Raw genomic sequence first — 15,079 nt, 5'->3', positions numbered from 1 at the left:
AGCACCCCGTGTACCTTTCTTCATCACTTTTGTTCACTCTCCTTCCCCCAAGATAACCACAGTCCCAAATTTGATAATTATTCTCTTGCTTTTCTGTTTTCCTGTTGTTTTTTTACCACTCATTATATATCCCTAAATGCAACTTAAAAATTTTTTAAAGCATTCAATACTTTAAAGCATTAGAAAAATTTTAAAGCTGTATTTAGAACCTTACATAAATGGACTCATGCTGGTTTTCTTCTGTGACTTTATTTGCCCTGTATGTCTTTGGTGATTCATCCATATTCATACATGTGGCTGTTGCTCATTCATTCTCAGTACGGTCAAGTCTGTAGTATCCCATTGGAAGAATAATAGATCATGGTTTGTTTATCCATTTTATTGTTGATAAATAGTTTGGTTGTTTTAGTTTGATGCTACTATGAACATTCTTTCCTGCTGGACAAGAGTTTTCTCTAAGAAGTACATAGGAAAGGAATTGTTGGGTCATAGAGAACATATTTCTTCAGTTTCATTACATAATGCCAGTTTTCAAAGTGATTGCACCAGTTTATAACTGCATTGTGAGATTAAAATAATTTTTTTAAGCCATCTCCTACTGAAAGGAGTGAGGTTAAAAAAAATTTTATTTTAGTGTGTGGTAAATGGTATCTTAACATAGTTTTCACTTGCATTTTCCTAATTACTAATGAGGTTGGACATATTTTTATTATTTATCCTCTCATACATTTTGTTTTATTTATTTATTTATTACACGAATAAGTTCTTTAGTGGTGATTTCTGAGATTTCGGTGCACCCATCACCCAAGCAGTGTACACTGTACCCAGTGTGTAGTCTTTTACCTCTCGCCCCCATCCCTGTGCAATTCTTTTGTCTGTTTTTGTGTTTTATTTCTCCTTTTTTTCTTACTTAGTTGTAGGAATTCATTATGTATTCCAGATACTAGTCCATTGTTTGTTATATGGGTTGCAAATAGTTTCTCCCAGTTTTGGCTTGTTGATTTATTCTCTTAATGATACTTTTACGTTGTCAAGTTTGTTTCTTATTTCCTTTACATTTGTGCTTTTTTGTGTGTCTTATTTAAGAAATCCTTTGTGATATAAGGTCATAAATATATTTACTTATATTCTAAAGTTTATGGTGTTTTAGTAATAATTTAAACTTTGCAATTAAATTTTGTCTGAAATTAAGTTGCAAGAGTAGTACAAAGAACTTCTGGGTATCTGTTATTCAGATTGCCCTATTGTTAATATCATGCCATATTTACTTAGATCATCTGAGTATTTATGTGTATGTATGTATATACATATATAATATATACACTACCTATATTTGTGTATGCATGTGTGTGTATATTTATTTTCTCCCACCTCCAAACCACTTGAGTAAGTTGCAGATATGATGTCCCTTTATGTCTAAATTAATCATTGTGTATTTACTAAGAGCAAGGACATTCTTACTAAATACAGTTTAATTATCAAAGTTAGGAAATTAACATCTATACAGTCCTTTAATCCATAGACTTTTTGTTTTGAGATAGTCTTTCTCTGTCTTCGAGGCTAGAGTGCAGTGGCGTGATCATAGCTCATTGTAGCCTTGACCTTGGGCTCAAGCGATCCTCCTGCCTTAGCCTCCAAAGTAGCTAGACTGTAGGTGAACAACACTAAATCTGGCTTTTTCTTTTTTTTTTTTTGTCATTTTTTTTGTGGAGATGGAGTCTTGTTGTTTCAACCAGGCTAGTCTCAAACTCCTGGGCTCAAGTGATCCTCCCACCTCAGCCTCCCAAAGTGCCAGTTGTGAAAATAATGTCTTTTATGACAGAACCTTTTCTGGTAAAGATCCAAACAAGTATCGGGCTAATTTATTTGTCATGTCTCTTTCGAGTCATTTAATTCAGAACACTTCTTTATTCTGTGTCTTTCATAACTATTGTTATTTATTTATTTATTTATTTATTTATTTATTTATTTATTTATTATTGAAACAGGGACTTAATCTGTTGCCCAGGCTGAAGTGCAGTGATGTGATCACAGCTAACTGCAACCTCAACCTCCAGGGCTCAAGTGATCCTTGTACCTCAGCCTCCTGGGTTCAAGTGATCCTTGTACCTCAGCCTCCTGGGTGTCTGGGACTACAGTCACTCACCATCATACCCGGCTAATTTTTATTTTTACTTTCTTGTAGAGACAGAGTCTCACTGTGTTGCCCAGGTTGGACTGTTGGATTTTTAAAGAGTCTAGGGAGGATATTTTTTGTAGAATGTCTTTCAATATAGATGTCTGGGTTTTCCTCATCATTGTATACATTTTTGAGCAGAAATACTGCAGAAATAATTTTGTGTCTTTCCTACTTCATTACATTAGGAGACACATGATGTTAATTTATCCTTTTTCTTGTGGTGTTAGCTTTGATCACTTATTAAAGTGGTCTTGCAGATTTCTTCCCTGTAATGTTACTATTCTTCCCTTTGTAACGAATTTACTGATTGAGATGATAAATACCCTGTTCTTACCACTTTTCACCTTTTCTTTTTCTTTTTCTTTTTTTTTTTTTGAGACAGAGTCTCGCTCTGTTGCCCAGGCTGGAGTGCAGTGGTGTGATCTCGGCTCACTGCTAGCTCCGCCTCCCGGGTTCACACCATACTCCTGCCTCAACCTCCTGAGTAGCTGGGACTACAGGTGCCCGCCACTATGCCCGGCTAATTTTTTGTATTTTTAGTAGGATGGACTTTCACCGTGTTAGCCAGGATGGTCTCAATCTCCTGACCTCGTGATCCGCCCGCCTCAGCCTCCCGAAGTGCTGGGATTACAGGCGTGAGCCACCGCGCCTGTCCTACCTTTTATTTTTCACATCTGTTGCCAAAATTATTTGTTACTGTGATGGTTTCCATGAGATAATTTGCTAATTCCATCATTTCTTCTACCTTTATTAGCTAGCATTTTATTATAAAGAATGTTTTTCTTGGCTGGGTGCGGTGGCTTACATCTGTAATCTCTGCACTTTGGGAGGCCGAGGCGGGTGGATCAATTGAGGTCGGGAGTTCAAGACCATCCTGGCCAACATGGTGAAACCCTGTCTCTACTAAAAATACAAAAATTAGCTAGGCGTGGTGGCACGTGACTGTAGTCCCAGCTACTAGGGGGGCTGAGGCAGGAAAATTGCTTGAACCTGGGAGGTGGAGGCTGCAGTGAACCAAGATCCCGCTACTGTACTCCAGTCTGGGCGACAGAGCAAGACTCCATCTCAAAAAAAAAAAATGTTTTTCTTGACTGAGCACAGTGGCTCACACCTGTAATCCCAGCACTTTGAGAGGATGAGGTTTCTTATCATCACTTTCATTCATTTATTTCATGTCAGTAAGGACTCATAGATTCTTATTTTATTCTACAGGGTATAATTTCCTACTTTCGTTTTTCATTTTATGTTCAAATTACCCCTGATTTGGCCAGTAGGAGCCCGTTCACACTGGCTCTGTGGCCTTTTGACATGCCACCCTCATAATTGGAGCACTCCCTTTCTTTCTAGCACTAGATATTCCAGATCTTCTTTACCCAACCTGGCACTGGAATCAGCCATTTCTTCAATGAGCCCTGGTTTCTTTTAGGGGAAAATGGTATTTAAAAATCAATACCTAAACATTAGATGTGCTCATTGACAATAGGGCATGACTAAATGGACATGACTAGGACATGTGTCTATGTTTGCTTCATAAATATATGTTTCTGTGTGTGTGTGTGTGTTTTAAAAAACAAATTTTAACTGAAAATCCTGATTCCTGTCCAGCACCCTTTACATATTGGTAACTCTTCAAGAATAAGAAATGTGATTCCTATTAGCCTCAACATGTTTACTTATTTGCTCAATCTTAGATTACACAGAAGTGGTTTCGGAATTGCAAACACATACTACTAACTTTAGTTTTTGTTTGTTTGTGTTTTTGAGGCAGAGTCTCGCTCTGCCCAGGCTGGAATGCAGTGGTACAATCTGGGCTCGCTGCAGCCTTTGCCTCCTGGGTTCAAGCAGTTCTCATGCCTCAGCCTGCGAGTAGCTGGGACTACAGATGTGCACCACTACACCCGGCTAATTTTTTTGTATTTTTTGTAGAGACAGGGTTTTGCCATGTTGGCCAGGCTGGTCTTGAACTCCTGACCTCAAGTGATCTGCCCGCCTCGGCCTCCCAAAGTGCTGGGATTACAGGTATGAGCTACTGTGCCCGGCTGAGCTTAGTACTTACAAGACTTGTTTTTCTGGGCATTGCTACAATGGTCTAGTTGTCTCCTTTTGTCATTACCAGAAGTTTGAATCTCTGCTAAAGTCTTTTTTATCTTGTTCTTCTTCAAGACTATCTTGGCAATTCTTGACCATTTGTATTTCTTAAGCATTTTAAGATCAGCTTGTTGAGTTCCAAAAAAAAAAGCAGCAGCAGTAGCTATTGGGGTTTTGATTGGGATTACATTGAATTTACAAATGAGTTGAAGATAATTGACATCATTACAATAGAATCTTCCAGTCTTTGAACATTGTGCATCTGTCCATTCATTTGGACTTTTTTTATTTTTTTATTTTTTGAGACAGGGTTTTGCTCAGTCGCCTAGGCTGAAGTGCAGTGGTGCACTCATGGTTCACTGCAGCCTCGACCTCCAGGCTCAGGCAGTCCTCCCACCTCAGCCTCCTGAGTAGCCAGGACCACAGGCACACATCACCATGCTCTGCTAATTAAAAAAAAAATTTTTTTGTAGAGGTAGGGTCCCTCTGTATTACCTAGATTGGTCTAAAACTCCTGGTCTCAAGTGATCCTCCAAACTCTGCTTCCCAAAGCACTAGGATTACCAGCGTGAGCCACTGCAGCCTGGATGTTTGTTCATGTCTCTCAGTAAAGTTGGGTGACTTTTCTCCTTAAAGATTTGCACATTTTTTGTTGCACTTATTCCTGAGAACTTTTTTTTTTTTTTTTTTGAGACAGAGTCTCACTCTGTTGCCCAGGCTGGAGTGCAGTGTCATGATCTCGGCTCACTATAACCTCTGCCTCCCAGGTCCAAGCAATTCTCTTGCCTCAGCCTCCCGAAGCTGGGACTACAGGCGCATGCCACCATGGTTTTTGTATTTTTAGTAGAGATGGGGTTTCATCGTCTTAGCTAGGATGGTCTTGATCTCCTGACCTCGTGATCCACCTGTCTCGGCCTCCCAAAGTGTTGGGATTACAGGTGTGAGCCACTGTGCCCTGCTATTCCTGAGAACTTCTTACTTTTACTTTTATTTTACATGGCATAGTGTGGTGTCTAAGAACCATACTTTTTGTATTCTGATTCTGGACCTATTATTTATGAGCTGTGTAATCTTGGGCAAGTTACTTAACTACTCTGCATTTCTCTTTCTTTCTATGTGTAATGTGTAACAGTTCTTAACTGGTAGGGTTGTGAAGATTAAATGTGCTCATGTACATGAAGAGTTTAAAATGATACCTAACATAAGCCCAATGTAAGTTTGAAGTATCATTACTGTTTTGTTTTCTAACTGTTGGTAATACAGAAGTACAACATTATTATCTCTTGATTTCATAACTCAGAAACCCTGATAAACTCTTATGAATTCCAGTAATTTGCCCGTGGATTCTTTTTACATTTCAGTACACATAGTCATATCATCTACAGATAATGTCAGTTTATATCCTTTCTTCTAATCCCTGGGGCTTTTTTTATTTTTTGAGACAGAGTCTCGATCTGTTGCCCAGGTTGGAGTGCAGTTGCACAATCTTGGCTCACTGCAACCTCTGCCTCCCGGGTTCAAGCAATTCTCATGCCTCGGCCTCCTGAGTAGCTGGGATTACAGGTGCCTGCCACCACGTCTAGCTAATTTTTTGAATTTTTAGTAGAGATGGGGTTTCACCGTGTTGGCCAGCCTGGTCTCAAATGCCTCACCTCAAGTGATCCACCCACCTTGGTCCCCCAAAATACTGGTATTACAGACGTGAGCCACCTCGCCTGGCCTAATCCCTGGGACTTTAATTCTTTTTCTTGTTTAACTAAGATAGACCAAACTTCTAAAATTAATATAGAAATGGGAAAAGAAAGCATTTAGAGTAGAGCTGCTGAAAACTGTTTTTTTTTTTTTTTTAAGCTGTAAGACTTAATATAGAGCTGCAGTAATCAAGCCAGTTTGGTAATGTCAGAAGGATAGATATATAGATTAATGGAGCATATTAGAGAGGCTAGAAATAGATCCACAGATGTGGTCAATTGATTTTCAACAAAGTTGCCAATCTAATCCACTAGGGAAAGGGAAAGTCTTTCAACAAGTCGGTTTTGTATAAGTGGATATTGGTATTGGGGATAAAAAGTATTAACCATTATCCTGTCCATACTGACAAATTAAATTGAAATGGATCTTAGTCCTGTATGTAAAATTTGTTGCGTGGACCTGTAGTTCCAGCTATTCAGGAGGCCGAGGTTGAAGGATCACTTGAGCCCAGGAGTTCTGGGCTATAGTGCTCCGTGCTGATCAGATGTCTACACTTAAGTTCGGCATCAATATCGTGACTTCCCAGGAGAGGAGGTCCACAAGGTTGCCTAAGGAAGGATGAACTGGTCCAGGTCAGAAACAGAGGAGGTCAAAACTCCCATGTAGATCAGTAGTGGTAGTGTGCCTGTGAATAGCCACTGCACTCCAGCCTGGGCAACATAGCAAGACCCTGTCTCTTAAAAACAAATACACTTATACCTATAAAATTTCCAGAAGAAGACATAGGAGAAAATCTTTGTAACTTGGAGATATGCAAAGTTTATTAGACCACAGAAAGCACAAACCATAAAAGGAAATAATTTACATATTGTAAATTATTTTAGTGCTCCGCTGCTTGAAAGATAAAACCAAAAGGCAAACATTACTCACTCCAAGTTGGCAAAACCTCTGGCTCCTACCTAGCCTGGTGATCTGTGAAATTTAAAAATGTTGCTGGGTGCAGTGGCCAGCACACCTGTAGTTCCTGTTACATGGGAGGCTGAGGCAGGAGGATTGTTTGAGCTGAGGCTTGAGTGTGCTCTAATCAAGCCTGTGAATAGCTGCTGTACTCCATTTCGGGCAACACAGTCAGACCCCATCTCTAAAAAATATATAAATAAATTAATTAAAATGTGATTTAATATTAGGTGTTAATTAAACACAAATGTTCATAGCAGTTTTATTTATAATAGCCAAAATCTAGAAGTATTCTACTAACAGTTGAATAGATAAAAGTGGTCCTTCTATGCAATCAAGTACTATTCAGCAATAAAAAGGAATAAAGTAGTGATAAAGGCAAAGGGATTATGCTGAACAAGAGAAGCCAGACAGAAGGGAACACCTATTCTATAATTCTGTTTGTATATATTTCTATAAAATGCAAACTAATCTATAGTGTGAGAAAGATCAGTGGTTGCCTGAGGACAAGGTTTGGAGAGAGGGAGATTGCAGAGGGACATGAGAAAATTTTCAGGAATGATGGGAATATTTGTTATCTTGATTGTGATGATAATTTCACATGCTTTAAATATACAGTCATGTATTGCTTAACCACAGGGATACGTTCTGAGAAACGTGTCATTAGGTGGTTTTGTTGTGTACTTAAACAAACATAGATGTTATAGCCTACTAAACACCTAGACTGTATGGCATGTTACCATAATGTATACTATAGGCAGCTATAACATATGGTAAGTATTTGTGTATCTAAACATAGAAAGGGTACAGTAAAAATACAGTATAAAAGATCAAAATGGTACACCTGTATAGGGCACTTCCTATGAGTAGAGGTTGCAGGACTGGAAGTAATATTTTTATTTCCTTAATAATAAATTAGCCTTAGCTTGCCCAGGCATGGTGGCTCACCCTGTAATCCCAGCACTTTGGGAGGCCAAGGCAGGTGGATCACTTGAGGTCCAGAGTTTGAGACCAGCCTGGCCAACATGATGAAACCCCATCTGTACTAAAAATACAAAAATTAGCTGGGTGTGGTGTAGGGCTTCTGTAATCCCAGCTACTTGGGAGGCTGAGGCAGGAGAATTGCTTGAACCCAGGAGGCGGAGTCTGCAGTGAGCCCAGATTGTGCCACTGCACTCCAGCCTGGGCGACAAAGTGAGACTCCATTTAAAAAAATAATAATAAAATAAAAAACAAACAAATAAATAAAATAACCTTAGCTTACTACAACTTTCTAACTTCATAAACTCTTAATTTTATTTTTAACTTTTGACTCTTTCGTAATAATACTTACCTTGAAACACAAGCACATTGTGTAGAAAATATTTTTGTTTACAAGCTGTTCAAAAATATTTTTTCTTCGTAGCCTTATTCTGTAAACTTTTTTCTATTAAACTTTTTTCAACTTTTAGTTTTTTGTTAAAAACTAAGACACATACACACGTTAGCCTAGGCCTACACAAGGTCAGGATTGTCAATATCACTGTCTTCTACTTCTACATCTTGTCCCACTGGAAGGTCTTCAGGGACAGTAAACATGCATGAAGCTGTCATCTCCTATAATGACAATACTTTCTTATGGAATACCTCCTGAAGGACCTGCTTGAAGCTGTTTTACGGTTAAGTTTTAAGAAAAAAAAAAACAAGTAGGAGTACACTCTAAAATAACAATAAAAAGTATAGTATAGTATATACTATATAATAAAAGTATAGTATGTATATAAACCAATAACATAATTCTTTATTATCAAGTATTATATACTGTACACAATTTTATTTTCTGTACTTTTATAGAGTTTTATTCCAGCATCACTACAAACATATGAGGAATATGTTGCACTACAGTGTTACAATGGCTATAACATTACTGGGCAATAGGAATTTTTCAGTTCCATTATAATCATATGGGACCACCATTGTATATGTGGATCATTGACCGCTCCGCTGCACATGACAGTATATCAAAACTCATCACATTGTACATAGATAGATATACATAATATAGTACATACACATGTATATATGTACATTGTATTCTATATAAGTTAGAAAATAAATTAAGTCAAATCATTTTACTCTAATGCTGACTACCCTCCAAAGGTTTCTGTTTCTTTTGGAGTGGATGCCCCCATCTTTACATTGGATTACAAGGCCCTATACCATCTTTTTTCTTTTTGACAAATCTTTTTTTGTGCTCCCCTACTTCATCCTTCTACCCCTCAATACTGAAATCCCTATTGTTTGTCAAACATATTAGGTGTGTTCCAACCTCCAGATCGTTCCACTTGTTATTTCTTCTGCCTGGAGTACTTTTCTCCCAGGTACACTGAGAGAGATTTTTCTCATCTGCCTTCTTTGACCTGTCTTGTCAAGGTCTTCCTCAGAATTCTCCTGATCGATCCTTCCTTGCCTCCCTCCCTCCCTCCCTCCCTCCCTCCCTCCCTCCCTCCCTCCCTCCCTTCCTCCCTTCCTCCCTTCCTTCCTTCCTTTTCTTCTTCCTCCTCTCCCCTCCCCTCCCTCTCTTCTTTTCTTTTCTTTTTTCCTCTCTCTTCTTTCTTTCAACAGATCTCTCTCACTCTGTTACCCAGGCTGGAGTGCAGTGGTGCAACCATGCCTCACTGCAGCCTGGAACTCCTGGGCTCAAGCAATCCTTCCACCTCAGCCTCCTGAGTAGCTGGGAATACAGGCAGATACCACCATGCCTGGCTAATTTCAAAGTTTTTATAGAGAGGCGGGGTCTCACTATGTTTTCCAGGCTTCTCTTGAACTCGTGGCCTGAAGTGACCCACCCACCTTGGCCTCCTAAAGTGCTGGGATTCTAGGTGTGAGTCACTATGCCCAGCCTGTTTTTTTCCATAGTAATTGTCACCTTACATGCCATACAATTAACTTATTGCGTATTCTGTGTATTGTTTATTCTGTTTTTAATCTCTCAAACTTCACCAGGGCAGACTTGGGGAGTAGGATGCCTATTCAGTTTACTAATATTTCCTAATTCTGGAAGCAAAATAACCATGCAAACAATATTTGCTGAATAAATGTTTATTATTCTGTTTTTTCCACTACTGGTTTGAAGTTTAGCACTGCTTCTGTTTTTATCTAGATTTTTAACTTTCAAACATTTTACCAAAATCTAATGTTAATTAATAGCTGTACCTTTTCTTACATAATAGAAGAAATTAGGACACTTGGACTCCTTTTGCCTCCTCCTTACCTGTGATGTTATTATATTTTTATGTTATTTGACTTTAGTCTTGGCAATTTGTTATTATTGTTTTGTACAATCAGTGATTAAACCATATATAACTCTTTAGGCTTTTCATTCCTTCTTGCAACTCAGACATGCCATCTGAAAACACTTATATTCTGCCTGAGGATCCTTTTTAGTATTTCACTTAGGAAAGGTCTGTGGTAACATATTTGAAGTTTTTATTTGCCCCAAAATATCTTTCTTTTTTTAATCAATTTTAAGAGTTATTTTTGCTGAGTATAAAGTTCTAGGTTGACAGGTATTTTTTCTTTCAGCGTATTAAAGATACCATTCTGTGGTATTCTGATGTCCATTGTTGCTCTTAGAAAGTCAGTTGTCAAGCTAACTGCTGCTCTGTTTTTTCTGGCTGTTCTTTAGGGATTTTCCTTTTTGGTGTCCTTTTTCTTTTGTGTACTTTCAATATGATGTATTCATTTAAGGATTTATTTTTATTCTAATTGGAGCTCATTGGGCTTCTTGAGTCAGTGGATTGTTTGTTATTTTTAGTGGTTCTAGAAATTATCCTTTCATATATTCCCCCTTAACACTATTTCTCTCCTGCCTTTCTGGAGCTTTGATTAGACATGTTATACCCCCATACTGTCCTCAGTGTGTAAAACTTAACTTTTCTTTCTGAGCTGCATTTGGAATAATTCTTAGGACCTAACTTTCAGTTCACTGATGACGCTCTTCAGCTTGGTTTAATTGTCGTTAAATCTGTCCTATAATTTTAGATCTTAGCAATTGTGGCTTTCATTTCTAGAAATTTTATTTGGTTCATTTTTAAAAAGTGTCTCCTGTACTACAGATTTTTTTTGTATGTCTTTTTTCAAACATACTATTTAAATCTTCATCTGCTTAATTTAGTATCTCAGATTTTTTGCAATTTTCTTTCTGCTTAGATATTTCTGACTTTTTGGGTTTTTTTGTGGGGGAGGGTGGGGATGAGTTATTCACTTTACTTGGAGAATTAATTATGATTGTCCTTTGAGGCTCAGGATTAAGGTGTTTGTTCCTCCAGAGAGAATTTGCTTGCCTGCAGCATTAAAGGCTCTACGTTCAGGATCATTTCAACCTAAATTTATAGCTTGATTTTCCTTTGGACTTCCAAGAAATGTAAATTTGGACTGTAAATTTTTGTGAAAGCTTCCTTTTGGTTAGAACTTTTCAGGGGACTTTTCTCCCTTCTCTGCTGGTCACAAAGCAAACCTTCCTTGTAGTCTTTTGAAGATGGGAGGAATAGTAGATAGGGTAGGTTATTTTCAGCTTATATTAATAGGTTAATGCAGTGAGAGTATCCTGTTGACTTCTCACTGTGGGCTAACCCTGGGATTTGCTTCTGGCCTGCTACCCCATGAGCTGATCAAACCAAAGCTCAGTGTCACAGGGTTAGAGTTTGGGCCTAGTTACTCCTTATAATCTCGGCAACTTTTAGGTTTTTTAAAGAAAGTCTTTATACTTGTTCATTGAGCGTTTTTCTGCAGTAAGGTTAGTTTATGTTAATTATTCTCCAATTTAGACATTAAGCTTGTTTCTTTAGGATTTTGCTATTTCAAATAACACTGTGATAAACTGATTTCATGGGTTAAAATGTTATCTTATGTATTAATTCGTATTGCCTTGGTTGCTATCATGGTGGTACATTTTCCAAATGTGAAGAATCCGTTCTTATTCGGATCTGAAACATTTTTCTTAAAGGTTTGTGTAATTGCCTCATTCTGAAATGAAGATATGAATCCACTGTCTAACAGGTTACTTTGCTATATGATGTTTCTGTTTCTGCTCATTTAGGGAGTGTGGATTATATAGACACTTGAAAAATGTGTGTTTTGTCAAATTTTAGCAAATGTTCTTATTAATCTTATTTTACATGGAAACAGTTATTCAAATTTGGTCTTGATGATTGTTTGCCAGTCCTTTTATGTATTTCTATTTAATGTTCTATGATAGTTATCTCAAAATCTTTCCTCATTTCTCTCAAATCTACTGCTTGCTAGAGCTCTCTCTGCTCACCCCTTCTGTAGCCATCTGTGTTAGCCACTTTGCTGTCCTTTACAACTACTCCCCCTCATCAGTGGTTGATAGAAATTAATGTTTATTTCTCTCCCATGCCTCGGCAGCTGTGAATAAGCTCTTGCAGCCATCCTCCACTTGCCTTTTTTATCTAGGGCCCACGCTAAAGATCCACTCCTTTTTGAGACATGGCATTCTTGGGGCAGAGAGTCGAGAATAAGGGAGCAGATATAAACCCTTAATGCCATTTAAAGGCTCTGTGTAGAAGTAACATGTGAACATGTGTCATTTCCACCAGTATTCTTTGGGAAAAACATGACATGATCAAGCCCAGTGTGAACTGCATGGAAATATGTGCTCTTCCACCTAAAGGCATTGCAAGTCATGTTTGGCCAGTTATATAGAAGGGGGCAAGTGAATATTTGGCAACAATAATACAATATCCACCGTATCTCTCCTTATTGTTTAACTTTGTTTTTAGCCTTTCTAGTGTAGATGTTCATAATTGCTTGTGTCTATCTTGAGGCCTCTTTGTGAAGTCTTCCTTTGTGCCTTTAATACAGTGTTTTCTGTTGTAAAAATGAATCATTTTACCTATGATCTTGAGCTTGCTTGTGTGTAAGTTTAGCAAAGACAAAATCTTGTCTGCTTTGTTCAGACTCCTCACTAGAATGCTTAGCTCATGATATGCTCTCAACATGTATTTGTTAAATGGATTTCACTCTCCCTTCTTACTTCATCAGTTATTCTGTCAGTTACTCTCATTTTTTGAATCTCAGTGTCAATTCTCTGTGCTAATTCTATCCCTGCAGTCTCTTGTGACGGTATTTTCTTGAATTACTATAATTAGTTACATATTTAATAAATTATATTAAATAATTCTTTTTAATGAAGAAAATAAAATTATATGAGTTTTTAACTCCTGGAAAATAGAGCCTACATACTTGTGCCTATAAATACAGTCATCTCCCTATCATTGAAAAAGCAAACTCCCCCCTTTGAGGTTTGCAGTCCAACCTCTCACTACTTCTGTAATACTGTTGTTTTACCTTTTTCATTTCTCATTCTCTGTGCCCTATATTGAAGGTCCTCCCTATCCCCCTTTTGAAACTATTCCTCTAGATTCTGAGGTACTATAATTCCTTGTTTCTTTCCTGTTTCTAGGGCTAGTCTCTTCCTCTTTTCTGTAGGATATTCCCTTTCCTTCTGTTGCTTAAGTGTACCTATACCCCCAGGCTGTATCTTTAGCCTTCTTCATTTCTTGTCTTGTGCTCTTTTTAAGTGGAGCTCTCATTTGTATGGCTTTCACATTTATTTCTACACAGGTAATTCACAAATTTATGTGTTTACTTACAATAATCTGAGTTTGTGCCCTTATTTCCACTTTTGGCCATTTCTTTTTGAATATCTCATCATCATCTTAAATTTGATGTTCCCCCAAACCAAATTAATCATTTGTCTGCTAAAACTGACTCTCCATTGGAACTCCCGTTTTTGTTGATGATATACAGTCAACAGGCTTCTTAAAGGAAAGAGAAGACCAGCATTTGTTTAGCATTTAGTACACACTAAGTACTGTGCTTCTTCAATTACATAATATCTGGCTCAGGTTTTACCTCCAGTGAAAACTTCTCTGACCAGTCACAGTGAATCCTCTGTGATCACTTCTTACTCCAATTGTAATATATTTGAATTTGTACCTTTCGACCCTCATCATGAATCTCCTATAATTCGTACTTTTAGTTTGTAAGCCTCTCAAAGGCAAGGATTTTAACTCATTTTTTTTTAAATCAGCATAGTTACCCCACAGATACAGATTTAATAACATTTAGTAAGTAACTGATTTTTCATTATGAAATATTGCTCTAAATAAGAGAAAGAATCTCAGGCTAGTCCAAAACTAAATCATAGCTAAACTGTACTCTTGGTCCTTGAACCCAATTGAAAAGGGTTAGCCTTTGGAAGTGGCAGAGGCTCTTTTTATACGTTAAAGATCACTTGTTGAACAGATCTTTACTCCGTAACAGAATCTCTTTGTTAGTAATATACTTTCATAGAGCCATTTTATATTGCTTTGATAACGATATTTATAGAAGGTAGTGTGTTTACTTTAGCTTCTCTTTCCCATTAGGTGCACCGGGTATAATTTCTTCACCATATGCAGGGGCTGCTGGATTTGCCCCAGCCATTGGATTTCCTCAAGCTACAGGTGATTCTTTTAAGTTGGATTTGAAATGACTTTTAATGAAGTTGTATATTTTCTAGGAACTTACCAAGATGAAGAATGTTATCATATTTGAAGAATTTACCATAAAGCATTATGCATATCAGCTGTAGAAGTGTAGTGATTTGTATGATATATAGCTTCCTTGTTATTTACAAATTATTCTCTCTGGTCCTATTTTTAATTCCAGTAATCAGTATGTGTTCTGCATCATTTATGTTTGCTTTTGGCACAAATAACTATAGGCTAACTACATTAAATAACCTTAGATTTGCCTTTCCAGTTGTTATATAAAATGTATAAGCTGCTCTGTCTTTACTGATAAACTTATCAATTATGTGTTGAACAGACCTGTCTTATCTTTGGGCCTTCAATGCCTTTGACAGTACTCAACAAATAATATGCAGTCATACTATACATTCACTATTCATCTTTGGAAAACCTTTTGTCATTAATGGGTTTTGAAGATTACGATAGAGGGGTATGCATGCTGTTTATTTCAGGGGATATATATTTTGTCTCTTTAGCTAATGGAGGTAATTAAGAGATAGGAGTTGATTAATACGTTGATAATGATTCCCATTATTTTCAAAACAGTAAACAAAATGAATTTGATTATAATTTAAGGAAAAGAGAA

General features: G+C 37.4%; 1 protein-coding gene and 1 pseudogene across 18 annotated transcripts in view; both read left to right on the top strand.

Annotated features, from left to right (window-relative positions):
- Positions 1–15,079, top strand: part of PTBP3 (polypyrimidine tract binding protein 3) — a 162,168-nt gene that overhangs the window by 130,636 nt on the left and 16,453 nt on the right. For all 18 annotated transcript variants that reach the window (XM_047424272.1, XM_047424274.1, XM_047424273.1 and 15 more), the window contains one exon: positions 14,350–14,427. In XM_047424272.1, coding sequence (XP_047280228.1) covers positions 14,350–14,427 — 78 coding nt within the window. The remainder of the gene's footprint in view (positions 1–14,349; positions 14,428–15,079) is intronic.
- On the top strand, positions 6,408–6,697 carry RN7SL57P (RNA, 7SL, cytoplasmic 57, pseudogene; annotated as a pseudogene).

This window comes from Homo sapiens, chromosome 9, assembly GCF_000001405.40.
Source record: "Homo sapiens chromosome 9, GRCh38.p14 Primary Assembly".
NCBI classification, from domain to species: Eukaryota; Metazoa; Chordata; class Mammalia; order Primates; family Hominidae; genus Homo; species Homo sapiens.
This window is presented reverse-complemented; position numbering and strand designations above follow the sequence as displayed.